At 40.8% G+C, this 27,369-nt stretch overlaps 1 protein-coding gene and 1 long non-coding RNA gene across 5 annotated transcripts, besides 4 other annotated features; one reads left to right on the forward strand and one right to left on the reverse strand.

Moving 5' to 3' along the window:
* Window positions 1-325: 325 nt before the first annotated feature.
* LOC124903172 (uncharacterized) lies at window positions 326-11,373 on the reverse strand. The gene is made up of 2 exons (XR_007063788.1): window positions 10,987-11,373; window positions 326-1,549 (listed from the first exon to the last, which is right to left on the reverse strand). It is a non-coding gene; the product is annotated as an uncharacterized LOC124903172 (long non-coding RNA).
* Window positions 10,235-11,111: an enhancer, noted in NCBI's record as "OCT4-NANOG-H3K27ac hESC enhancer chr13:48610990-48611866 (GRCh37/hg19 assembly coordinates)". NCBI's record gives its function as "activates a minimal SCP1, AML or CMV promoter by ChIP-STARR-seq in naive H9 embryonic stem cells {active_cell/tissue: H9 hESC(naive)}" and the evidence as "EXISTENCE:reporter gene assay evidence [ECO:0000049][PMID:30033119]".
* NUDT15 (nudix hydrolase 15) lies at window positions 11,107-26,136 on the forward strand. 4 transcript variants are annotated; one of them, NR_136687.2, is made up of 5 exons: window positions 11,107-11,285; window positions 14,301-14,497; window positions 19,041-19,223; window positions 20,966-21,083; window positions 23,996-26,136. NR_136687.2 is itself a non-coding variant. In NM_018283.4 (3 exons), exons 1-3 carry the CDS (start codon window positions 11,128-11,130, stop codon window positions 19,178-19,180), a joined length of 495 nt encoding a protein of 164 aa, NP_060753.1. In that variant the 5' UTR covers window positions 11,107-11,127; the 3' UTR covers window positions 19,181-20,602. The 4 variants fall into 4 exon arrangements, 2 of the variants coding, with proteins under 2 accessions (NP_060753.1, NP_001291674.1); NR_136688.2 differs by having other exon boundaries at window positions 19,041-19,180; NM_018283.4 differs by lacking the exons at window positions 20,966-21,083; window positions 23,996-26,136 and having other exon boundaries at window positions 19,041-20,602.
* Window positions 11,112-11,987: an enhancer, noted in NCBI's record as "OCT4-NANOG-H3K27ac hESC enhancer chr13:48611867-48612742 (GRCh37/hg19 assembly coordinates)". NCBI's record gives its function as "activates a minimal SCP1, AML or CMV promoter by ChIP-STARR-seq in primed H9 embryonic stem cells {active_cell/tissue: H9 hESC(primed)}" and the evidence as "EXISTENCE:reporter gene assay evidence [ECO:0000049][PMID:30033119]".
* Window positions 11,154-11,393: an enhancer, noted in NCBI's record as "active region_7720". NCBI's record gives its function as "activates an Ori minimal core promoter by ATAC-STARR-seq in GM12878 lymphoblastoid cells {active_cell/tissue: GM12878}" and the evidence as "EXISTENCE:reporter gene assay evidence [ECO:0000049][PMID:35858748]".
* Window positions 11,444-11,603: an enhancer, noted in NCBI's record as "active region_7721". NCBI's record gives its function as "activates an Ori minimal core promoter by ATAC-STARR-seq in GM12878 lymphoblastoid cells {active_cell/tissue: GM12878}" and the evidence as "EXISTENCE:reporter gene assay evidence [ECO:0000049][PMID:35858748]".

Here is a 27,369-nt window from a genome sequence, read left to right on the forward strand (position 1 = left end):
TTTCTGTCCCATAAGGATAGTAGTAAATAGAAATAAAGAGGAAAGACTGGAGTGAAATGTTAGTTTTTCATCTCTGTGATCTTTACTCTGGTGAAAGAAGGTGCATTAGATAAATGAGGATAGTGTTGAAGGCAGGAGGGGATTCTCCTGTTCTGCCCCAGCCTTGTCGTGCTTCCCATCTGAGGCCTCATCTGAGAGGTCATTGCAGTGAGCTGAGATCACACCACTGCACTACAACCTGGGTGATAGAGTGAGACCCTGTCTCAAAAAAAAAAAAAAAAAAAAAGAGGCACAAGAAGAAGAAAGATGACTGAGAGGACAGCCCTTTAAACCAGGACAGAGTGAACATGATTTAATGAGACCAAGTTGAACCACATTGAACATTTGATTCATTTTACACAGACCCATATCCCAACTAATGACAAAGAGATTTAGGAAAAAATCAGACTCCCTATTAAGAAAAGAAAGAAAGAAACTCATTTTCTTCACACATCTGAGTTGCAGTGTGAGTTAAATTTGTGATTCAGTTACAATACATACCATATAATACTACATGAAACCATAAGGTGGATTCTTGAGTTTTACATATGAAGCTTCAAATATCAAACATAGGGATAGACCAGAGGAAAGAGGGAAAAGAAACTGGATGAGTTTAAACAAGAGGCTCAGGTCTGGGAGTAGAATCAAGCACATCCAGTCCAGCGCGGTGGCTCACGCCTGTAATTCCAGCACTTTGGGAGGCCGAAGCAGGCGGATCATGAGGTCAGGAGATCGAGACCATCCTGGCTAACATGGTGAAACCCCGTCTCTACTAAAAATACAAAAAAATTAGCCAGGCGTGGTGGCAGGTGCCTGTAGTCCCAGCTACTCAGGAGGCTGAGGCAGGAGGATGGCATGAACCCGGGAAGCGGAGCTTGCAGTGAGCCAAGATTGTGCCACTGCACTCCAGCCTGGGCGACAGAGCAAGACTCCATCTTACAATAAAATAAAATAAAATAAAATAAAATATAATTAAAATAAAATAAAATAAAATAATAATCAAGCACATCCAGTCAGCACAGGGTTGCCCAGGGCAGGGTGGGGTGAAAGAATGGTTCCAGCTACAGTGGACTCTCTCTTCCAAATCAATCTCCTGAGAAAGAGTTACAGGTGAAGGAAAGAGGAATTGGGCAGCATGACCTTAACTGCATTATTTCACCTTATAACCTAACTGTATTCGTTACATGTTCTTCAGGTAAATTAAGGAGGGCCTGCTTCATACTTCATTGCTAGGAATATTCTCAGCCTCAGTTATCTTCTGGTAAAAAGCTGACTCAATAATAATAGATACATAAAAGAGGTATGAAAATAGAACAGAGAGGCTGCCATTAACATAAGGATATACTGGAGCAGAACAAAATAGCCAGTATGAGGAGCATTCCAGCATCCCCCAGACTGAGGCTATTTCTGTGTAAATGGAGGGAGGAAAATGGTGCTCTCCTGGTAGAGTCCTGGAATTGGGCAGGAGAGGGGCCTCTTTGCCTGGATCACCTTTCCTTCATCTAGGAATCTGGAAAAATGCAAAAGAAAGTGTAGCAATAAGGAGCTGCATCAGGTTCTCATGCTGCAATAACTCCTGGTAGATCCTGTTCAACTGGTTGAGAATCCTGCAGAAGGGAATTCAATATGGGGGTTCTCTAATTAGAGTAATATTTATGTGGGTTGACACTTCTTTTATATGATTCATAAACATCAGCTTGGTGCTTTTTTTTTCATGACCATTTGTACTTTATGTGAATCATGCCACCTTTCTCCACACAGGCTAAAGTTTTCAGGAGAAGAAAAATGTTTTCTAGTTTAACTATTTAAAAGGACAGATGCTCCTCGACTTACAATGGGGTTACATCTAAATAGACCCATTGTAAGTTGAAAACAAGATTTTCAACTTGACTATATTTTCAACTTACAACGAGTTTATCTGGAAATAGCCCATCATAAGGAGCCTACTGAATGTTATTGCTTTTGCACCACTGTAAAATAGAAAAATCATTAAATCAGACCATTTAATCTGGGGACATCTGTATTTTGTTACACTGGTATAAGGTAGAGCAGCTTTTACTCAAATACTCATTTATGGGGTACATATGTGTTAGTCACCATTTGGGTACTAGAGATACTGACATCAAAGGCATCCTCCTTGACTTTAATGCTTCTCTGGGCTGATGCTCCTTTCTTGTCATTCCTTTATGGGAGGGTAGACTTAGGCTATTCCAACTCTTCAAAGCTTAGTAAAGATCAGGCTATAACATATAACCAGGTTTTATTGAAGGTTTTGGGATAATAAAATGCAACTACTATGCAATAAAAGAAAACTTTAAACTGGCTAGCAAATGTGACTTCTGAATGTATAGGTTCTCCTATTCACCTTCCCATCCCCTCTTAGCCCCAGATTTCCTACTTACTATGTTCTAGGAGCGGCCTACTCACCTCAACAGGAATGCCTGGGACGATGAATACCATCACCCCAGAGCCAGGCTCTCCAAGTCCTCTAAGGCCCAGAGAGAGGAGGAACCTGCTAAGGCTAGCCTCTGCAGATATATAATCTTCATAAACTCAGCTCCACCCACAAGGATGACCACTTTTGATATTAAGTGGAGCAGTTCAGCTCAGCTTTGCTTTGACCCTTTCTACTGCTGAATTGTATCTTGATTTTTTTCTTTCTGCAAATCCACGTTACATTTTTCTTTTTTTGGCTTTTTAAAAAAGTTTGATTTTAGTTTTAATATACAGATAGTAAAATTCATCTTTTTTAGTGTGCAGTTCTATGAGTTTTAACAAATACATCATCATATTACCACCATGATAATCAAGATACAGAACCATTCCATCACCCCCAAAAAATCCCCCATGTCCTTTTGTCGTCAACCCCTCTCCACATCCTCAGCCCCAGGCAAACACTGGCCTGTTTTCTATGTCCAGAATTTTGCCTGTTCCAAAATGCATATAAATGAAATCATACAGCATGTAGCCATTTATATCTGATTCTTTTCATGTAGCATAATGCAGTTGAGATTCATCCATGTTGTTGAGTGTATCAGATGTTTGCTCTGTTATCTTGCTGAGTGGGTTTCCATTGTATGAATTTACCACAGTTGATTTATCCATTCACCAGTTGAAGAACGTTTGTTTCCAGATTTTGATGATTATGAATAAAGCCAGTGTAACTGTTACATACAGGTCTTGGTATGAACGTAAGTTTTCATTTCTCGTGAGTAAATATCTTGGAGTAAGGTTACTGGGTTCTATTATAAGTGTATGATTAACATTATACATGTTTTCCAAAGCAGTTGTGCAATTTTGCATTCTCACCAACAATGTATGAGAGTTCTAACAACTCTGTATCTTCACCTGCCTTTGGTATTGCCAGTTTTCATGGGGATTTTTTTCTTATTCATTCTAATAGATGTGCAGAGGTACCTCAGTTTGGTTTAGGCTTTTATTTTCCTAATGACTCATGACGTTTAGCATCTTCTCATGTGCTTATTTGCCATCATATCTGATATGGTTTTGCTGTGTCCCCACCCAAATCTCACCTTGAATTGTAGCTCCCATAATCCCCATAAGTTGTGGGAGGAACCCAGTGACAGAAATTGAATCATAAAGGCAGTTTCTCCCATACTGTTCTCATGGTAGTGAATAAGTCTCATGAGATTTGATGGTTTTACAAGGGGTATCCCTTTTCACTTGGCTCTCATTCTCTCTTGCCTGCTGCCATGTAAGATGTGACTTTCACCTTCCACCACGATTGTGAGGCCTCCTCAGCTACATGGAACTGTGAGTCCATTAAATCTATTTTTCTTTATAAATTATCCAGTCTTGTGTATGTCTTTATAAGCAGTGTGAAAATGGACTAATACAATATCTCTTCTTGGTGAAATATCTGTTCAATTCTTTTGTCCATATATTTATCAGGTTGTTTGCTTTATTATTGATTGCTGAGGATTCTTTACATATTCTAGGTCCAAGTCCTTCATAAGATATGTTCTTTGCAAACATTTTCTCCCAGTCCACAGCTTGCCTTTTTGTTTTCTTAACTAGTGTCTTAGTGAACTGAGGCTACTATAACAAAATACCATAGAGTGAGTGTCTTAAACAAGAGACATTTATTTCTCACTGTTCTGGGGGCGGGCAAGTCCAAGAAGATCAAGGTGACAGTAGGGTTTCTTCCTGGTCAGGGCCTTCTTCCAGGCTTGCAGATGGCTGCCTTCTCACTGTCTTCTCACAGAGCAGAGAGATTGTCTTAGTCTGTTTTGTGCCACTATAAGGGATGGTTTCTGTTTGGTAATTTATAAAGAACAGAGACTTATTTCTGACAGTTATGGAGGCTGGAAAGACCAAAGTCAAGAGACGGCATCTAATAAGGGCTTTCTTGCTGTATCATCCCATGGTGGAAGGGTAGAGGGTTAAGAGAACATATATGCACACACGTGTGCATGAGAGAGAGAGAAGGGAAAAGTTGGAAGGGCCAACTCGTCTCTTTATCAGGAACCCACTCCCACAATAACTAACCTCCTCTCAAGATATTAGCATTAATGCATTCATGAGGGCTCTGCCATAATCACCTCTTAAAGCTCTCACCTCTCAACACTGTTGCACTATGGATTAAGTTTTTAACACATGAACTTTGGGGTACATATTCAAACCACAGCAGATAGAGTGACAACCAAAATGAGTGATTGAGGCATAAGTCTCAAATCACCCAGGTTTATTGAGCCAGCTTGAGGCTGTGCCTGGGAAAAACGTAAGTCACAGAAGCATCTGTGGCTATTTTTTCCAAAAAGGTTCACAGGAGCTTTAGTATTTATACATTTTCCTTAAAAAACAGGAGACAGCAGTGAGATAAATGATTACCTACTTATGAGACTTTAGTTAAAGCCAAGTAAATCTATATTTTACATATGATAAGGTGAACATTTGAAGAAAAAGGGACTAGAGGAAGCAGCCATCTAGGGGAGAGGTAAAGGAACCATTAATCTCATCTTATCTCAGGGACTGGTGAAGGAACTATTAATTTCATCTTGTTTTTGTTCTACACCTGGGAAGATAAAACTAGCAGTCTTTTGAAAGGGCTAGCTTCTGTTCAGCCTTTAGGGAAGAAAACCTAATGACTGTTTTTTGTGTTTTTTTTTTTCTGAGACACTTTCACTTTGTCAGCCAGGCTGGAGTGCAGTGGTGCAATCTCGGTTCACCACAATGTTGGGGTGATCAGACCCAACACCAGGTCATGGGGGGTGATGAAGTCCGGCAGAGTCAAAGGAATGAGAAAAGACAGTTTGAGAGAGAAAGTGGGTCCAGGGGGCCAACGCAAGTATGGAGGCTGTGAAGGCCCTGAGCTCTGGAAGCCCACGCTATTTGTTGGTGATCAAACAAAGAAACAGGTGGTGAGGATGTGGAGGTTGAAAGGTAGCGATGCATCAAGCAAATAAGCTATAGCTGTGATGCTTTAGCATTTTCTTTGAAGCATATGGAACATGTTCTGCTACTTGAGATAATGGGAGTGCTAGAAGCAAGGAGCCAGCAAGTCTGACACATTCCAGAGGCCGTGAGGGGTTTTATGCCCTGAGCCCTGGGTTCCATCCAAGCCATGAGGGGTTTTATGCCCTGGCCTTAGATTATGGTGCGGCACGGCAGCCTTCCACCCTTTAGCACAGAGCTTGGTGTTCTAAAGGCCACGAGGGGTTTTAGACCCTGGACCCCGGACATGTTCCAAGACTCTTTCACATTATATCAGACATGCAAGCCCTGCCTCAGCTTCTCTCCCAACACTCAGCTTTTCTCCCAACACACAACTTCCACCTCCTGGGTTCAAGCGATTCTCCTGCCTCAGCCTCCCAAGTAGCTGGGACTACGGGCACCAGCCACCGCGCCTGGCTAATTTTTGTATTATTAGTAGAGACGGGGTTTCACCATGTTGGCCAGGCTGATCTCGAATTCCTAACCTCAGGTGATCTGCCTGCCTCAGCCTCCCAAAGTGCTGGGATTACAGGTGTGAGCCACAGAGCCCGGCTGAAAACCTAATGACTGTTAACAAGGGAGGGGGTATAATGAGGTGTGTCCAACCTCCTATCCTATCATAGATGTAAATTCAGCATCCAAGGTTTCTCTGGCATTCCCTTGGCCAAGTTGGGGGTGTGAGGGGTCCATTCAGTCAGTTGGAAGCTTAGAATTCTGTTTTCATTTCGCAAGAGCAAGAAAGCTCTGTGGTCTCTTCTTACAAGGCCACTAATCCTATCATGAAAACCCTAGCCTCACGATCTCATTTAACCTAATTACCTCCCAAAGACCCCATCTCCAAATACCATCATTTTAGGGATTAGGGCTTCAACATGTCAATTTTGTGGGAACACAGTTGAGTCCACAGCAGTATCTCTCAAAGAGAAAAAGGTTTTAATTTGGGTGAAAGCCAGATTATCATTTTTTAAGGGTCATTCTTTTCATAGCTACGAAATCTATACCTAACCAAAGATCACAAAGATTTTTACCTATATTTTCTTGTACAAATTGTATACTTTAGATGTTTTTATTTAGGTCTACAATCCACTTTGAGCTAATTTTTATATATGGTGCCAATTATAAATCAAGGCTTTTTGTTTACATTTATGTCAACTTGTTCCAGCACCATTTGTTAAAAATACTATCTTTTCTTTATTGAATTGCCTTTGCACATTTTTCAAAAATTAATTTATATATGGATATATACATATATATGGATCTATTTCCAGTCCATTTTGTTTCACTGATCTATATGTCTATGTTTTTACCAACACCATACTCTCTTGATTACTGTGGCTTAATCCTAAGTCTTGAAATCAAATGGTGTGAACCCTCTAAATGTTTTCTTTTTAAAAACTGTTTCTATTATTCTAGTTATTTGTGTTTCCATACCAATTTTAGAATCAACCTATCTATTTCTACTGGAAAGGGAAGCCTTCTGGTATTCTGATCAGGACTGCATTGAATCTATATAAATTAATTTGTAGAGAATTGATATTTTAACAATATTGAGTCTTCTGATCCATGAGTATAATATTTCTCTTCTTTTACTTAAGTATTTTATTTTCTTCAGCAACATTCTATCAATGAAAAGAGTCCAACTCTGGCAAACTACGCATCTGACAAAGGACTAGTATGCAGAATCTACAAGGAATGCAAACAAATCAGCAAGAAAAAAACAAACAATCCCATCAAAAAGTGGGCAAAGGACATGAATAAACATTTATCAAAAGAAAATATACAAACAGCCAACAAACATGAAAAAATGTTCAACATCACAAGCATCAGGGAAACGCAAATTAAAACGTGAGATACCACCTTACGCCTGTAAGAATGGCCATTACAAAAAAGTAAAAAAACAATAGATGTTGGCCTGGATGTGAGGAAAAGGGAACACTTTTACACTGCTACTGGAAATGTAAACTAGTACAACCACTATGGAAAACAGTATAGACATTCCTTAAGGAACTAAAAGTAGAACTACCATTCAATCCAGCAATCCCACTACGGAATATCTACCCAAAGGAAAATAAGTCATTACATAAAAAACACACATGCGGCCGGGCTCGGTGGCTCACGCCTGTAATCCCAGCACTTTGGGAGGCCGAGGCAGGCAGATCACGAGGTCAGGAGATCAAGACCATGGTGAAACCCCGTCTCTACTAAAAATACAAAAAAATTAGCCAGGCGCAGTGGTGGGCGCCTGTAGTCCCAGCTACTCAGGAGACTGAGGCAGGAGAATGGCGTGAACGTGGGAGGCGGAGCTTGCAGTGAGCCGAGATTGCGCCACTGCACTCCAGCCTGGGCAACAGAGTGAGACTGTCTCCAAAAAAAAAAAAAAAAAAAAAAACACATGCACATATAGCAGCACAATTTGCAATTGCAAAGACATGGAACCAACCTAAGTGTCCATCAACCAACGAATGGATAAAGAAAATGTGGTATATATACACCATAAAATACTACTCAGCCATAAAAAGGAACAAGATAATGTCTTATGCAGCAACTTGGATGGAGCTGGAGGCCATTATTCTAAGTGAAGTAACTCAGGAATGGAAAAGCAAATATTGTAAGTTCTCACAAGTGGGAGTTAAGCTATGAGGATGCAAAGGCATAAGAGTGATACAGTGGGCTTTGGGGACTCGGAGGGGAAAGTTTGGAGGGGAGTGAGGAATAAAAGACTACATATAGTGTACACTACTCAGGTGATGGGTGCACTAAAATTTCAGAAATCACAGCTAAAGAACGAATCCATGTAACCAAAAACTTGAAATTAAAAAAAAGGAAGAAGTCAAACTCTGTAAAATAGTTGAAGGGATGTATTCTGAGCCAAATATGAGTGACCATGGCCTGTGACACAGCCCTTGGGAGACCCTGACAACATATGCCCAAGGTGGTTGGGGAGCAGCTTGGTTTTATACATTTTAGGGAGACATGAGACTTCAATCAAATACACTTAAGATACAGATTGACCATTGGTTTGGTCCAGAAAGGCGAGACAACTTGAAGTGGGGCAGGGGTTCCAGGTTATAGGTAGATTTAAATTTTTCTGATTGGCAATTGGTTGAAACAGTTATTATCAATAGAAAGGAATGTCTGGGTTAAGATAAGACGTTGTGGAGACCAAAATTTTATCATGCAGCTGAAGCCTCCAGGTAGCAGGCTTCAGAGAGACTAGATTGTAAATGTTTCTTATCAGACTTAAGGTCTGTGTTAATGTTAAATGCTAGTTGGCTTTTCCTGAATTCCAAAAGAAAGGTGGCATAATGAGGCATATCTGACCCCTGCTCTGTCATGGCTTCAACCAGTTTTTCAGGTTAACTTTGGAGTGCTCTGGCCAAGAGGAAGGAGTCCATTCAGATGGCTGGGGGTGGAGGTGCTTAGAATTTTATTTTTGGTTCAGTTTTATAGTCTTCTGTATACAAGTGTTCCATATCTTTTGCTAAATATATTTCTAAGTATTTTATGTTTTTTATGGTATTATAAATGGTATTGTTTTAAAAATTTACTTTTCAATTGTTCATTGCTAATATATAGAAATATAATCAATTGTGTATATTAACCTTGAATCCTACGACCTTGCTAAACTTATTTCTTCTAATGGCTTTTTAATTAATTCCTCAGGATTGTTTTAAAAAAAAAAGACGGTTACTTATTCCTTTCCAATTTAACTACGTTTTATTGATTTTTAAATTTTATGAGTTGTGCTAACTAGAATCTCCAGCAACATGATGACTAAACGTGCTCAGAGTGGATACCCTAGCTCCTCCCAAATCTTGTCTTTCACCAAGATAAGGCTAGGCTAGTGCTATGGCTGCCATAACAAAGTATCAAGCCATAACAAAGTATCAAAGATTGTGTGGCTTAAATAACATAAATTAATTTTCTCACAATACTGGAGGCTAGAATTCTAAGATCAAGGTGTCAGCAGACTTGGTTTCTTCTGAGGCTGCTCTCCTTGGCTTGTAGACGGCTGCCTTCTCCCTGTGTCATCATACAGTCTTCCAATAGAACACAGTCTGGGTTCTAATCTCTACTTCTTGCGAGGACACCAGTCATAACATTAGAATAGGGCCTACCCTAGTGGCTTCATTTTAACTTGATCCTGTCTCCAAATGCTGAGGTACTGGGGGATAGGACTTCGACATAGGAATTTTGAGGGGACACAATTCAGCTCAAAACAGTCATTAAATATGATGTTAGCTGTAGGTCTTTGTAGATGCCATATATCATGTTAAAGTTTCATTTTATTTCTAGTTTGCTCAGAGATTTTGTGGAGTTTTTTTAATCACAACTGAGTATCGGATTTTATTAATTTTTTTCTGCATCTATTGAGATGATTATATGTATTTCCTTTCTCCCTCTGTTAATATGCTGAATTACATTGGCTTTTCAAATATTAAGCCAACCTAGTATTTCTGGGATTAATCTCATTGTTCAATATATTATCCTTTTTATATACTACCATTTTTTGAGAAGATATTGTAAGTACCTTTGTAATGAATGTGAATGTTGATAGTGAGGAGAGATGCTGTGAAAAGCTTAATACCCATTTAGTATAACATGGAGAGTAAGCATATTACTTAGAAATAAGTAGGCAAATATCAGAAATACAGTTCAAAGAGTTAAAAGTGATTGTTTCTGAAAGTAGGAGGGTCAGGTTGCTCTTGTTGCGGTTTTTGCACCATTTTACTTCTTAAAATTATAGCTATAGGTCAGGCGCAGTGGTTCACGCCTGTTATCCCAGCACTCTGGTAGGCCCAAGTGGAAGGACTGCTTGAGGACAGGAGTTGGAGATCAGCCTCGACAAAAGACCGACAGCCCACCTCCACAAAAAAAAAAAAAAGAAAGAAAATTAGCTAGCTTGGTGAAAATTAAAATAAAATAAAATTACCAGTATGTGCACATTACTTTGGTAGAAGTAAAAATAATGAGAAAGAGAGAAAACCCTCCCAGTAACTAGTCATTTGTTTTTATGATTCAGCTGGTTTGTATTTTGCATGGTGCATGGTGTGCAAACATCTGAAAATGTCTGTTTTCCACTGTTTGTAACTAACTCTTCCCAGCATGATTTATCAATTAGCCTTTATTTCCTCCCATGACTTATGAATATACCTTAAGCATAGTTGTTTATAATGGGATGTTTCTAAACGACCTATCCTTATCCTGGTACCACGCTGATTTGAGCTACAGGGCAAATGGGTGCACCATGGTGGGCGAGGTCATTCACGGAAAAAAGAATGTGCAGTGGTGCCGAGGTTGGTAAGAGCAGGCGGCTTGTACATGTAAATGCATGGTTTGCAGGAATCTGGGAGTGGATAGGCTGACGGGTGATGAATATTCAAAGCACAACTGTAAGCGACTTTAGTTACAGCGAAACTCTAAGGCACGCTGCCCTTCGGAAGGAAACACGGCATTCCCCAACCTGATAGCCCTCCGCGACGCATTACGCACCGCGGACAGCTGGAGAGGCCGAGGCGCTCTCGCTTTGATTTCGGCGCCTCCGCCCTCGCGGGGAGAGATTGGCTGCGGCCGCGGGACGGGGTAGTGAGCGCGTCACTTCCTGCCGCTGCCAGGCGCGTCCTCCCGCGCGCTATGACGGCCAGCGCACAGCCGCGCGGGCGGCGGCCAGGAGTCGGAGTCGGAGTCGTGGTGACCAGCTGCAAGCATCCGCGTTGCGTCCTCCTGGGGAAGAGGAAAGGCTCGGTTGGAGCTGGCAGTTTCCAACTCCCTGGAGGTCATCTGGAGTTCGGGTGAGCAGCCGCGGACGCGAGGAAACCGGGGCGTGCGCAGAGGGACGAACTCACGCCGTGCTTGCTTCCGTGTGCCGTGCGTGAGAACGTCCGCGCTGACGCTGCGTCCTTTCTTGCGCGTTCCCTCGGTTCCTCCCCTCGACTTCTGGGCGACGTAGGATCGCGCCCAGGAGGGGGCGCTGTGCTGGGTCAGGCGAGGTCTTTGCTAGCTGGGTCTTTCCGGCTGCGCCCCTGCTGGGTGGTGGTTGGGAGTTCGTCTGTGAGGTGTGTTTCTCACAGCTTACACACAAAAGGAGGAAAGCAGGTGTGTGTAAACCTCCAGCAGCCCGATATTGTCAGCTAAGACATTGCACCGTTTCCATGTGATTGATTGATTGATCGATTGATTGATTTGAGACTGTGTCTCGCTCTGTAGCCCAGGCCAGAGTGCAGTGGTGCTATCTCCAGTCACTGCAACCTCCGCCTCCTGGGTTCAAGCGATTTTTGTGTCTCAGCCTCCTGGTAGCTGGGATTACAGGCGCCCGCTACCACGCCGTGCTAATTTTTGTATTTTTAGTAGAGACGGGGTTTCGCCATGTTGGCCAGGCTGGTCTCGAACTCCTGACCTCAGGTGATCCACCCGTGAGGTCAATGACCATAGCCAACATTGAGCTCTAATGGGCTTTTTGTTAAAGGCTGGATAATATGCCAAGCTCTTTGCATGTATACTTTCATTTGATCTTTACATAACTGGCATACTCAGTGGGCTAAATTTGATGGGAGAACAAACAGGAAATGGTTTTATTTTCTCCTTCCACTGCCTTCAAACATGATTTTTTCTTTCCCTCTTCAGTGACGTTTCCTGCAAATTCTATAGTTTTCTTGTCACTTGGTTATAAAAATAAATCACATTTGGGTCAGTATGATTCACTTCCAAGCATTTAAAAGTCCAATCCAATTTAAACCTTCAGTGTCACTTCCAGTTTCTAATCCCTCCCCTGCAGTGCATAAAGGAGGTGTGAGCCATTGTTCTGCTTTTCTGTATCCTCCTCCTCTTCTCACCTGGCTGTCTCTGAGTTTCCTTCTTTCTCCAGTGTGTTGGAGGAGGAGAGAGAGCAAGCCATTCAGGTGACTGATGCTGCTCTGATCCATCCATTGGTGTCCTCTGGGCATGATATCCACATGTGTGCTTTCTCAGGGTATGTTTGTCAGTTGTTGGGAAGTCCCACAGAGATTTTCCTGACATAGGTGACGGGCTTTCTGTGATGCTGGCCCACCTCCTAGCTCTTGCTTTTAGCACATCACCCCACATTTTCTTTCTACTGGGATCTCCTATTTGATTACCCAGCAGTCTCTTGTGGCATCTGCTTGGCCCAAAGGAAACACACAATGGGAATGATATTTCCACTGCTGCCCTTTTTCCTTGCTCTACCTCTGTATTCATCTGCATCTGGAAACTCCGAGGGACACATTTCAGATTTACCCAAGAGCTTTCACCCTTGTAGCACACCTTTTCTGATGCACTGGGGTAGGCCTGTGAGTTTCTGCAGCTCAGGATGTCTTTAGCAGGGGAGTGACACACTGAGTATCTCCTTCTTGAGTCACTCCCAATCTTGTGACTGATTCTCTTGGAATGTTCCTCACCTGTCTTGGGGGGGCAGAGTTGGCCCCTTGTAGTCTGGAAGGGAAATGCTCCTACTAGGCTGAAAACTCCAAACTTTCCTCTGTCTCAAACATCTCCTTTTTTTTTTTTTTTTTTTTTTTTTGAGACGGAGTCTCGCTCTGTCACCCAGGCTGGAGTGCAGTGGCGGGATCTCGGCTCACTGCAAGCTCCGCCTCCCGGGTTCACGCCATTCTCCTGCCTCAGCCTCCCAAGTAGCTGGGACTACAGGCGCCCGCCACTACGCCCGGCTAATTTTTTGTATTTTTAGTAGAGACGGGGTTTCACCGTTTTAGCCGGGATGGTCTCGATCTCCTGACCTCGTGATCCGCCCGCCTCGGCCTCCCAAAGTGCTGGGATTACAGGCGTGAGCCACCGCGCCCGGCCTCCTGTCTTTCTTATGTAGCCTGGATACGGAGAAGTCACAGGTCTAGTCTGGCCTTCCTTAGCTTGAGCTTGAGCTCAGATGACATCTGTTTGCCCTTTTGCTTGAGAATTTAGAAGTGCTTTTTACCTATTGTCTTCAGTTTTGAGGCTTAAATTGAAATTCTGAGACTGCTGGAAAAGACATAGTGGCACTTCTTGATACAATTACAGTGACCCCATGAGGAAGTAATATAATCTCTTTTTACTTGTCCAAGGTGGAAAGTAATGAACTTTGAGCTCAATCCCAGGTCTAGTTGACTCCAAAGTCTGCTCTTAATGCACTAAACTGCCTCCTTGTTACACACAGGTTCCAGGGCTGTAAATTAGTGCTGAGATGGCTAAATGTTAATTTTTATTCAATATTAAGTCCTTTTCATCTTTAGATAACTAGATACAGGATATAATGTCAAGGGCAAGGTTGCTGATTTACTGGTTTTAAATCTTTATCTTTTTAATTAATTATTATTACTATTTTTTGAGACAAAGTCTTGCTGTTTGTCCAGGCTGGAGTGCAATGGCACCATCATGGCTCACTGCAGCCTTGACTTCCCAGGCTCAAACTATCCTCTTGCCTCAGCCTCTTGAGTAGCTGGGACCACAGACCATAGGCACGCACCACCATGCCCGGCTATTTTTTTTTTTTTTGAGAGATGAGGTCTCACTATGTTGGCCTCAGCTGGTCTCCAACTCCTGAACTCAAGCTGTCCTCTTGCCTCGGCCTTCCAAAAGATTACAGACATGAGCCACATGCCCAGCTGATTTGTTGTTTTAAAGCAGGAACCAATTACAGTTCTTTTTGTTTTACACTAGAATTTTCTAGCCAAGAATTTCATGGCAAAATATATACACACACACACACGTATATACATTTATATATATACATATATATACACACACATGTGTATATATAAAAAAATAGAATTAATCTAATTTTTGTTTCTGTTTTCCAGTGAAACCTGGGAAGAATGTGCTCAAAGGGAAACCTGGGAAGAAGCAGCTCTTCACCTGAAAAATGTTCACTTTGCCTCAGTTGTGAATTCTTTCATTGAGAAGGAGAATTACCATTATGTTACTATATTAATGAAAGGAGAAGTGGATGTGACTCATGATTCAGAACCAAAGAATGTAGAGCCTGAAAAAAATGAAAGTAAGAGAATTATATATAATCATGCATTTTTCTTTCAGGAGAGCAAGTGGTCTGGAGGAATATTACAGTATGTTGCCATATGAAGAGAATGCTATTGTCTGAATGCTTGTGTTCCCCCAAAATTCTATGTAGAAATCCTAACTCCCATGACGAGGTTTTAGGAGGTTGGGGCCCTTGGGAGGTGATTAGATCATAAGATAATGAATGGGATTCATGCCCTTATAAAAGAGACCCCTGACCCCTTCCATGATGTAAAGATACAGAGAGAAGATCGTTGTCTGTGAACCTGGAAGTGGGCCCTCCCCAGATATGGAATCTGCCAGTGTCTTGATCTTGGACTTCCCAGTCTCTAGAACTGTTGAGAAATAAATTTCTGTTGCTCATAAGCCATGTAGTCTGAAGTATTCTGTTATAGCAGTCCAAATAGCCTAAGATATATGAATGTAGAGATGTAATATAGAGATATAGATAGGTAAATATATTTGGACCATGAGGAACCAGACTGTGTTTGTGTCCTGGTTCTTAGAGCTTTGTGACCTTGGGCAAATTATTTCATGCCTGGGCCTCTTTTCTTATCCGTGATAATAATAAGTACCTTGGATGGATTCTTGTAAGGATTTACATACGAAGAACCTCGTGAACACAGTAAGTTTTATTGTTATTGTTTAATTTTGTTTCAGGCAGTAATTTTAAGGAAAATATTTTATCTGTTTTACTCAGTTTTCTCACCTGCGCAGGAGAGTTAATACCATCCATTTACGGTAAATAATTACACTGATAAAACAATTATTGTTTCACAGCAGTTGGGTTCTTCTTGCCTGCCACCCAGAAAAAGCCAGTACCCTGAGACAGTAGGAGTTGTAGCAGAGAAAGAGTTTAATAATCACAGGGCAGCTGCATGAGGAGGACGGGAGATAATTCTTAAATCCTACCCATAGAGAATTCAGAGGCTAGGGTTTTTCAAGGATGGTTTGACAAGCAAGGGGCTAGGGAATGAGAAATGCTGCTTTGTTGGGTTGGGGATAAAACCATACGGATGTCAAAACTGTCTTCTTGTGCTGAGTCAGTTCCTCGATGGGGGGTTCACAGGACCACTTGAGTCAGTTTCTTTGTGTGGCTTACCGATTTGGGTGGTACCAGTTGGTCCATTAGAATGCAAAGTCTGAAAAATATCTCAAACACTAGTCTTAGGTTTTACAATAGCAATGTCATCTGTAGGTGTAAATAGGAAAGTTATAAATCTTTTGACCACGGGCTACATGCTTCCTGAGCAGTAAGCAGTTACAAAAAAGCAAGTTATAAAATGATGCCTGGTTAGAGTTTAACTATGCCTACATCTTTATTAATAGAGTTCTGGCCCTTACCATAATTTTAACCTTGTGGCCTTTTATTAGTTCTACAAAAGCAGCTTTGGTCCCTTAACAAGGAGGGGGTTAGTTTTGGGAAAGGACTATTACCATCCTTGCTTTAAAGTTAAACTGTAAACTAAATTCCTCCCATAGTTAGGTTGGCCTGTGTGTAGAAATGAGGAGACAGTTTGTGAGGTTAGAAGCAAGGTGGAGTCAGCTTTGTTAGATATCTCTCACTGTTATAATATTGCAAAGGTGGTTTCATTATCTGTTACCCTCTATGTTGAATTGAGTGCACTGAAAGTTTATTTACCGTGTGCTAAGCATTGTTCTAAGGGTTTTCTGTTTACCATCTCTCCTCAAATTCTCATAAAACAGTCAGAAAAGGAACTAAAGAGAAAAATATCAAACTTTTTGAATATATTCCTTGCCATATGAAACTTTATCCAAGTGGTCTTATGTATTGAACCTCCCCTCTAAACATTTAATTTCTTCTCTAATAGGGAAGAATCTTTTCATTCAACAGATACCTATTGAGTACAGTGTTTTGAGTATTGAGACACTGTTCTAGGCACTAAAGAAACAATGGTGCGTAGAACAAAGTCCCTGCCCTCTTGGACTTTACATTTTAGTGGGCGGGGGAAATGACAGATTACAGATATTTTATGATAGTAGCAATAAGGACTAAAAAGAGCAATAAAGCTGTGTAAGAAAGGGATATATGAGTGCTGTATCAGATAGGGTGGTTAGGAAGGGTCTCTGACAAAGGGATGTACACACATATACTGGGCAACATAGTGAGACCCTGTCTCTACAAAACTAAAAATGTTAGCCAGAGTGGTGGCACATGCCTGTAATCCCAGCTACTTGGGAGGCTGAGATGGAAGGATCATGTGAGCCTGGGAGATCAAGGCTGCAGTAAGCTATGATTGCACCACTGCTGTCCAGCCTGAGCAGCGACAGAGTGAGACCCTGTCTCAAAAAGAAGAAATGGACTAAACATTTTCTTATTTTTCTTTTTTCTATGGGCAAATAAAGCTGAGACTAGAAGAGACAAATATGATGGAATAGTTTTTTTTTAAATTCAGTATCCTTCACAGGAAGCAGATATAGAAAGCCTTCATTTTTAGAGAAGGTGCTATAGAGAAAACACCAAGGTCACTGACTGTCCCACAAGCTTTATTTGACCATTCTCACCAAGCCACCTCTGGGTGCTTCCTCATTCTTCAGTCCTCTTTTTGCCCTGTCTAGCCTCTGTAGGGATTTGAGTTGGGGAATCCTGATGCAAGTTATAATTTTGAATCTCACTCCTCTGAGCTGCGGGCCTGTGTTTCCAGTTGCTTTCTAAGTATCTTCCCTTAATGTTCAGAAGGCATCTCAAATTCAACTCAACTTCAAATTATGCTCATTATTTTTTTTACTGAACTTTGAATCTATAAAGAACAGTTCTTTTGGCTTATACATTTTGAACTCTTCCCTGCCAAACACAGTGTCTGACTCATAATCAGAATTCAAAATATGTTGAAGGAAGGAAGGACCCAGTGAATGAACATACAAGCCAACCTCTTCCTGTGAAGCTGTCATTTAGTACTAGACTGCCCTACTTTTTAATAACTTCCATAAGATTACTATTCTACTTTAAGTACTAAATCATGAGTTTTTATAACCATGTAACTATATGTATTGTTTTATTCCTCTTAGGATATAGTAGTTAGGAGTAGTTTTACATGCTTTGTGGTTTTTAAAATTCATTTATGTAACTTTTTTATTTGTTCACTTTCATTTTGTTAACTCCCTGACATGAACCTTGCTAGTAGTCTCAAATAAAGCAGTATGATTTACAAGGTCCAAGATTACTAGCATCAAATCAGATTTGATCAAAAACATTTATTGCTCTATATCTGTTAGTAACAATACAGCAGGAATTATGTTCACTTTATTCCCAGTTGCAGCCTGATAACCAACTACACTGATAACCAGCTGCAGCCTAGCCAAGGTACAAGGACTTGGTGGGTCTTTGTTTTATTTCTAGGATAAAGACACAGTCTCTCTATCCCGTGCTCCTCAGGCCTTGGATCTGGGTAGCCTGCTTCAGTTTACTATTTAGTGCATCTTTCCTCCAACCATCTAATTATAGTTCGGAGGCTCATCCAGACACTTCATTTTCTAGGGGATGGGGTAAACTTCATGGATGGGTTTTTGGAGACCTGGTTAATTAAGCATCTTGCACCACATTGTTGGGTACTCAGTCTGTCTGTGTCTGTCTGTCTGTCTCTCTTTCTCGCTCTCTCTCTCTCCCTCTCCCGCCCTCCCTCTCCCCCTCCCGCCCCCACCTCATTAGTGTATGGTCACAGTTACTGATCACAGTTACTCTTCCTGTACTTATTCCAGTTTCATGGATTTTCGGCCCCTGCATTCCCAAAGTGAAAATACGTACCTATATACCTGTATTTTATGGACAGAAAGATACTTAGTGCTTACACATAGTAAAAACAGGTGATCATAAAGAAACTAGAACATGGAGTGTGTATCTTAATATAATATGTAGGTATTTGTCATAAGCATCTGTGCGTCTATGTTATTTACATTTAAATCATGAAAGAAACACCATTCTCTAGAATCTTTTTCTAGAATTTCATGTACTTTATAACTGATAGACACTGTTAAATCTTTGTTTCAATGGATTTTTAAAAATCATCTCCTTCTGTATTTGTTTAAAATATACCAAGGTACAATATTTTATTTTCCTCTGCACAGCTTTCTACTTTTTTAAGAGATGGAGGATATCTTAGAAACTTTGTAATCTACTTTATTTTATAGGTGAAGGAAGTGGTTTATTTTAATGTAGTATAACCTATAGTATATAACGTTATTTGCATTTTTTACAAAAATATTTACATAAACATTGACTAATACTAAATCTGGGTTTACCATGGCATAGCCTTTGTAAACTGGGCTTCACATTCAAATAACACAATGTTTTAAATGACCACCATTCTCTTCATAAGACCTTCATTCTACATGCAAATTATATTTGTATAGCCAAGCAAATGCAAAGCATCACTATGAGTTTATTAGTAGCAAGTTATTTTTAAATTCAATTAATTTTTTCTAAATATAGGTTAGCTTACCCAAATAAACACCCTTTGTTTTCTGTTATCTAAATAAATTGATTTAGCATCTTTCTTTTCTAGGTTGGGAGTGGGTTCCTTGGGAAGAACTACCTCCCCTGGACCAGCTTTTCTGGGGACTGCGTTGTTTAAAAGAACAAGGCTATGATCCATTTAAAGAAGATCTGAACCATCTGGTGGGATACAAAGGAAATCATCTCTAGGTGGCCGAGAAGATTTGATTTTCTTTAAAAAGACAAGAATAAGGTCTGGTTAGGGAATGAAAAATGTATACATTTCGGAACAACTCCATTTTATCTAAAAAAGTTCTTGTGATTGCCAGTTTATTTGCAGTCTCTTAATGTATCCCCCACTCTTTCAGCCAGTACTTGAGAAAATTTTTCTGAAATATGTCATTGAATTGTATTCCAGACACAGAATACATGATAAATACTGATATTATGGGTAATCTGCTTTCCATATTTACCTATGATATTTACTGTGCAGTTTGTCATTACTAGCTTGCATGGAGTAGGATGCAGTCAAATTTGCCTTAGTGTTTCTGTTCAAATAGAGACCTGAATTCAAATATTGTAGTTTAGGTTCAAACAGAGTATGGCTGTTGCAAAATTTACCAAATTTGTTGATTACCTCTTTTATTAAAGAAATGTTGGGGAGAGGGTAATATATTGTGACAATTTTTGCAACTTACAGGGAATAGGACAGGTCATTAGGGTGTATTTCCCAGGTTTCCAATTGAGAATCTAAACCAAGAGAAGTGAGACAAACCATCTAATATCTGTATCATGCTATTAATAGGCTGTGATGTTGAGTTTCTCACTTACTCTTTCTGAGGTCCAGGGTCCTTATATGAAGAGATTCATATATATGAAGAGATTCGTCTAGAGCAGTGGTTGTCAAAGTGTGGTCTGGGGGGGCCTCAAGAGCCTTTCAAGGGTATTCTAGGTCAAAGCTGTTTTTATAACACTAAGACATCATTTCACTATTTATAGCTTTTCCTTTTTTTTATTTGAGAAGGAGTCTTGCTCTGTTGCCCACATTGGAGTGCAGTGGCACGATCTCAGCTCATTGCAGCCTCCGCCACCTGGGTTCAAGCAATTCTCCTACCTCAGCTTCCCGAGTAGCTGGGATTATAGGCACCCACCACCACACCTGGCTAATTTTTGTATTTTTAGTGGAGACGGGGTTTCACCATGTTGGCCAGGCTGGTCTGGAACTCCTGAGCTCAAGTGATCTGCCCATCTCAGCCTCCCAAAGTGCTGGGATTACAGGTATGAGCCACAACGCCCAGCCATCATTTATCTTTTTCACTCATTTTTTCATGAGTATGCAGAGGAGTTTTCAAGAGGCTATCTGGTGTGATATTGTAATAGGCTGAATGCAAAAGCAGATACAAGATTCCAGCTTTCGTCTGTCATCAGACATTGAAGAGATTTGGAGAAATGTAAAGCAGCAGTACTCTTCTCACTAATTTTTGTTGTGGTTAGTTAGAAAAATGGTTATTTTTAGTGGGTTTTAATATGTGAAAAAAATAAAATTAGCTATTTGCCAAAAATGTTTTTATGTGTTTATATATACTTGGTTCTTGTTACTTGCAAATGATTAATAAAAATTTTAAGAAATTTCTCAGTTTTCATTTCTATATGATAAATATTTCTAGATAAAACCATACAAAAACAAAATCTCTTTGTGGTCCTTGGTAATTTTTAAGAGTACAAAGGGATCCAAATTTTTGCCAGATTAGGCCAAAAGCTCACATTTTTAATTTTGAGCGCACTTCTGTGAAATCCTGTGCTTCTCTTAGAGTTGATTACCTTTGAATTTTGCTCTTTCAAAAGACCCCAGTACTATCATAATACTTGCTAAGGAATCTTTTTCCAGTGAGTATCATTTTTTAAGTTCTTTCTTGTTTGCTTTTTCAAAATTATATATGTACATTGTATAATTTGTCATGTAGAAATCTCATTTTCTTTTTTTTTCTGAGACAGGGTCTCACTCTGTCAACCAGGCTGGAGTGCAGTGGTGCAATCTCGGCTCACTGCAACCTCCAGCTCCCAGGCTCAAGGGATCCTCTTGCCTCGGCCTCCTGAGTACCTGGGATTACAGGTATGGTATGCACCACCACGCCCAGCTAATTTTTGTATTTTTAGTAGAGATGGTTTCACCATGTTGCCCAGTTGATCTCGAACTCTTGACCTCAAGTGATCTGCCCACCTTGGCCTCCCAAAGTGCTGGGATTACAGGCATGAACCACCACGCCCTGCCCATATTTTTGATGTTAGATGCATGATTTTGAAATGTTTGAAGAGCTCAAATATAATAAGTGTGTATGTATGCCTTGTTCTTTGGATATATGGATTAATTTCACACTAATTTTTCTACTCCTATTTGATTATTCCATGTCCTTCTGTTGCTTGCTTCCTCATTTTACTTAATTTCAGTAAAATTCAGTCCCTCAGTTGACTGAATCCCTGTCCCTGGCTTCTCCTAAGTGATAGACATGTGAAGCTTGATAAGAAAGCAGGCGAGCTTATGGATTAAATCCTTTCATAGGTTTATCTCAACTACAGTTCATTGGTAATTCATTAAGATATCTCTTTATGTTAGTACTTATCCATGCAGATATTTTATAGCTTCAAAAACTCATCACAAGGCCTGGCACAGTGGCTCACACCTGTAAACCCAGCACTTTGTGAGGCTGAGGTGAGAGGATTGCTTGAGTTCAGGAGCTCAAGACCAGCCTGGGCAACACAGGGAGACCCTGTCTTTATGAATAATTTAAAAATTAGCCAGGCATGGTGGCACATGCCTGTGGTCCCAGCTACTTGGAAGGCAATGACAAACTCATTGAAAGCTTGTGAGGTTTGTTTGTTTGTTTTTTAACTCAACCAACTTGACATGAAATGTGTTTCAATGGAAAGAAAAAACTAACCAGGAGTTTTATTCATAGGAAAAGGTAAAAAGGTAAGAATTCCATATTAATTAGAAGGGGATTGTGTGTACATCAGCACTTAATGTGCTCAGGTGGCATTCAGTGACAACTCAGTAATTAGGAAATATTTCTTTAAATAAGTCAATGAATGAAGCAGGATTTAGAACTGTTAAGAAAGCAGTTAATGCCTGGATGGTTTGAGTATTGCCTTTAATAGAAAAAAAACTAAAGCTGACTAGCAACATTCTCATAAAACTAAATGTCAGCTAGAGTTCCGGAAGTGTACTTTACTGCCAGGTTGCTGGGAGGGAAATATCTTTTCGTCTATTTGCTGGACCAACCCTGAGGTGTCATCTGTCCCAGGATAGGCAAGTGCTCCTATACTGACTCTGGCAACACCTTACCAAAAGTCTTCCCAGTGGAGCCTGAGGTGAATTCGGCCTCTTTCCGATCCACTTGGAGGAGTCACTTCTTTGTTATCTTGACTGCCAGCTTCCCAAACAAGGCAAATACTTTTAGGTGAAATAGTCTCTTCTTTGTGGCACGAAATGATCACAATAAATGGAGATTGTGGGAGAAAGCAAGCTCAGGGAATCATTCATATAAGAGAAGACATCCAAAGTCTTCTTTCAACATAAAATCATATATTGAAGCTGCCTCTGTTTTTAGTAATTATTTATGTTGTACGCAGATGTCTGTGCTGCACTTGAGTAGTTTTTTTGTTTTTGAGATGGAGTTTCACTCTTGTTGCCCAGGCTGGAGTGCAGAGGCACGATCTCGGCTCACCGCAACCTCCGCCTCCCGCGTTCAAGCAGTGCTCCTGCCTCAGCTTCCTATTTGGGTTTACAGGTGCCCACCACCACGTCCAGCTAGTTTTTGTATTTTCAGTATAGATAGGGTTTCTCCATGTTAGTCAGGCTGGTCTTCCGACCTCAGGTGATCTGCCTGCCTCGGCCTCCCAAAGTGCTATGATTACAGGCATGAGCCACCGCGCCCAGCTGAGTAGTTTTATAAAAAGTGAAAATTAAAGGTAACAATGTGCATTGTGTTCCACATCTTCCATTTTATGTACTTCAATAAATTAAAAGTATAAATTAATACTTAAGGTTCTCCAAAACATCTAATTTTTCATCTATTGTGTGCCAAGTCGTATGATAAGGACTTTACAATATTTGTACTGTCAGTTAAACCTACCACACTTCCTTAAATTCCCATTCCAGACTTTTTCTCATTTTCATGTTCAAAATGTTTAAATAGGCCAGGCACAGTGGCTCATGCCTGTAATCCCAGCACTTTGGGAGGCCGAGACAGGTGGATCACCTGAGGTCAGGAGTTCAAGACCAGCCTGGCCAATATTGTGAACCCCTGTCACAACTGAAAATAGAAAAATTAGCCGGGTGTGGTGGTATGCACCTGTAGTTTCAGCTACTCAGGAGGCTGAGACGGGATAAGTGCTTGAACCTGGGAGGAGGAGGTTGCAGTGAGCCAAGATCACACCACTGCACTCCAGCCTGGGGGACAGAATGAGACTCTGTCTCAAAACAGAAAAGAAAGAAATGTTTAAATAGCCAGGCACAGTGTAATCCCCACACTTTGGGAGGCCAAGGCCAGAGGATCACTTGAGCACAAGAGTTTGAGACCAGCATAAGCAACATAGTGAGACCCTGTCTCTACAAAAAGTTAAAGATTAGCTAGGTGTGGTGGAGTTGGTGGGACATGGTGGTGCTTGCCTGTAGTCCCAGCTCCTTGGGAGGCTGAGGTGGGAGGATTGCTTGAGCCCAGGATATCGAGGCTACAGTGAGCTATGATCCCACCACTGCATTCCAGCCTGGGCGACAGAGTGAGACCCTATCTCAAAAAATAAAATATTTAAATATTTGGCTTTTTGCATAATAATATTGGTTAATAACGTTGTATTCAATCATGTATCACTCTTCATTTTGTTTATCAGATCAATTCGTGGGCAAAAGCAACATAGTAGCAAGTAAGCCAAACTTTTCACGAACTTCAGTTTGGCTTGATACTTGTTATTTTTGATAACAAGACTTATTTTTGATAACTTGATACTTTTTGTTTTCCTTCATAGATTCACTTTCTACCTATTCTTGGATGACTCCCCAAACAATATTATCTACAGCCCAGATGTTTCTAAGCTCCAGGCCCCACCGCACACCAGGCATCTCTACTTGATTGTCCACATCCTTCTGGCTTGCTGTGTTTCAGACTGAACTTCCTCCTATTCTTCTCAGAGAAGGGCTCTACCATCTGCTGAATTGCTCAAATTTGATTCCCTTCCCCGCATCCAGCAGTTGCTCTTTCTTGTCCATTCTGTTTCTTGTCTCTTGAATCCACCCCCATCACATGGTCCCACCTGCCTCTCCCCTAGGCCAGGCCCGTGCCACCTTTTCCCCAGACTCTTCCTGCAGCTTTACTCCGCCAATCAACTGAATGGCTTATTTTTATTCTTGTGGTAAAATACACGTAACATAAAACTTACCATCTTAACCCTCCAATTCATTTTTGACATTACTCCTGGAGTGACTTTTCAAAGCATAAATTTAGTTATGTCTCATCTTCCCAAACGTCTTTGGAAGTTCCCATCACCTGTAGAATAAAATCCCTAACCTGACGTATGAGCTTTCCTAATTTCCCTGGACTAATTTTCTCATTATATCACACCCTGCTGTTGCACCCTGCACTCTCAGCATCTTTGTGCTTCATCCAGTGCAACAGGCTGGTTCCTACCTCCTTGCCAGTGCGCCTGCAGCTCCTTCTGAACTGAATGCGACACCCACCTTCAATGTGCCTTAACAGATCCTTACTAGTTTTTCGTACCTTAGTTCAAGGTTCCTTCCTCTGTGAAACCTGGACTCACCCAATTGGACCTTGACATATCTCACCTTACACCATTTCTACTGTATGTTGACTTCAGAGGTAGCGCTTGATTTCATAAGGCCCTAGGCTTAAATGAGACATGTCACAAGTTGTGTTCTTCCAAAGCCGCCCATTTTTGTCTTTTTGAATAGCATGGTTTAAATTTCTAATGGGTTGAATTCACCTCTGATGCATTTGTGAAGCAATAAGTTAAATTCTGCAGATAAAATGCCCGCAAGTCAGCCTCCTCCTTCAAAATGGCTGAAGACAAGTATACATCAATATTGTAGTTTTCATAAGTGCTATTCATGTGAATGAAAAGGAAATATGTTCACCTTTCAGGGATCACATGTGACTCTGGAAGGGTATTTTCTGTGGCTGAGCACAGCTTTGATTATTTGAGGATTTAGGTCTGATGCATCTGATAAGGCTGCCAGTACTTGTATATTATGGAAGATGTCATGTTGATTTCTATTGATTGCTTGTCTCCCCAGTAGAAAGTAAACTCCTTTAGACTAAAGACCATGTCTTTCTATTATATACCTAGCAGCCAGAGTGGTAACTGCTAATGCTAAATGCCTAATATATACTAGCTGAATGAAAAAAGTGACCTTTTAGTATTTCTTTTTCTTAACTTTTTCTTTTTCTGGGTCAGAAAGAAAACAAGTAGTATTGAGGATCCTCAGAATAGGAAATGCAAATACTGCATTCCAATTATTGGCAGGGACATGAAGAATATCTGTTTCTATAGTAAGGAGGAGTTAGGGTCCAAAATAGAAACAGAAGTGATACTCTGGCTAAAGATGTACACAAAGTTCACAACTGGGTAAGGAAGCTGAAATCCAAATGCCAATTTACTAATGTGAGGAAAAATGAGGGTAACTTACTATGTTGTAGGGGAAATTATTAAGTAACATGCATGTGAAATGTACCTTATAACAGGTTCTGTATTTTTAAAGGGATATAATTATGTGTTCATGCATATTTGAGAATTTTATTATGTTGTGTTTTATTAGTGGAAATAAATCAGTAGAATTAGATAAACCTGACTCACACAATAAGATGTTTCAATCAACAAGATACTTGGGATGCAGAGAAAGTGACTATTTAGGTAAGATATTCTTGCAACCCCAAGAGAGGTAAACCAGACCACAGGTGGAAGTCTGTCAAGTAGGAGCCATGAACTGCCTTGAGGGAGTTGGAAGCAGCTTTAAGACAGTATGAAGAAGGGCTCAACTTGTCCACAAAATGTTTTAGGTCTACCAGTTTGAGAACTGCAGGACACACACCTGCACTTTGTTCCTCCCTCTGTTGTTGCCATTGGTGAAAATAAACCAAGTGCTCTCGACCACACATTGCTTCACCCGTCTTTCTTATCAGCAGTGCTACACAGAAGCAATCCATGGCCAGGAGAGTTTTCATTTTCTTAATGGCTTTTGCGTACACTGGGTTTACAAATACTTATGGCAGTTCACTAACTTAACCAACGTCCCTGCTCATGCCACCACCAAAGAGTTGAATTCAAATGGAAGGAGAAAGAATAGGTGGTCAACAGGTTCAGTAATGAAAGATGCCATGTTGGGCAAGAACCATACTAAGGGACTAAAGGGCTGGGGGATGGAATGAGGAGTTTAGAATCAGGGAAATAGTAGATCAGCAGGTCAGAACAGGAGAGTGCAGTGAGGTCCCGAGAGGCCACCATCCCACCCCAGCTACCATGCACGGATTTTTCTCCATGAGCCATCCCAGGTGAACTGTTTGGGTGTCTAGCTGACTGACCCAAAGGGCTAGAAGTGAAGTGGCCAGGAGAAATAGTTGCCAGAACCGATGGTAAGAACGGTGGTAGAAACACCAGTTCAGTAGCTAGTTCTATCCCCTAAGAGTTTGTTTTATGTAGGATCTAACAAAACAGGCAAGCAATATAACCAAGAAGTATTTATTAAGCAATCTTCTGTGCTAAGTAAAGAAGGCTCTTGCCAGGCGCGGTGGCTCACACCTGTAATCCCAGCACTTTGGGAGGCCGAGGTGGGTGGATCACTTGAGGTCAGGAGTTCGGAACCAGTCTGGCCAACATGGTGAAACTCCATCTCTACCAAAAAAATACAAAAATTAGTTGGGCATGGTGGCACACACCTTTAGTGGCAGTTATTCAAGAGGCTGAGGTGGAAGGATCACTTGAGCCCAGGAGGTCGAGGCTGCAGTGAGCCAAGATTGTGCCACTGCACTCTAGCCTGGGTGACAGAGTGAGCCCCTATCTCAATAAATAAATAAATAAGGCTCTTTAGGTATCCTTAATGCCTAGTGTAGTCCCTGGCGTTTTAGTAGGGCTCCATAAATATTTGAATCTATTTGAAAGATTCAAATGGATTATGGAAACAAGACGATAGCTAATTAAGTAAAGTGGCAGCATTTTTTTTTTTTAACTTTTAAATTCAGGTATAGCATGCACATAGGCTTTCAATGAACTTTTACAAAATGAACACACCTATATAACCACCACCTAGATCAAGAACTGTTTTACCATCACCCCAAAAGTGTCACCTTGCGAAGATAACCACTATTACCACCATCTCATAGTTTGTTTCT

The sequence above is a fragment of the Homo sapiens genome, chromosome 13, assembly GCF_000001405.40.
Source record: "Homo sapiens chromosome 13, GRCh38.p14 Primary Assembly".
Lineage (NCBI taxonomy): Eukaryota > Metazoa > Chordata > Mammalia > Primates > Hominidae > Homo > Homo sapiens.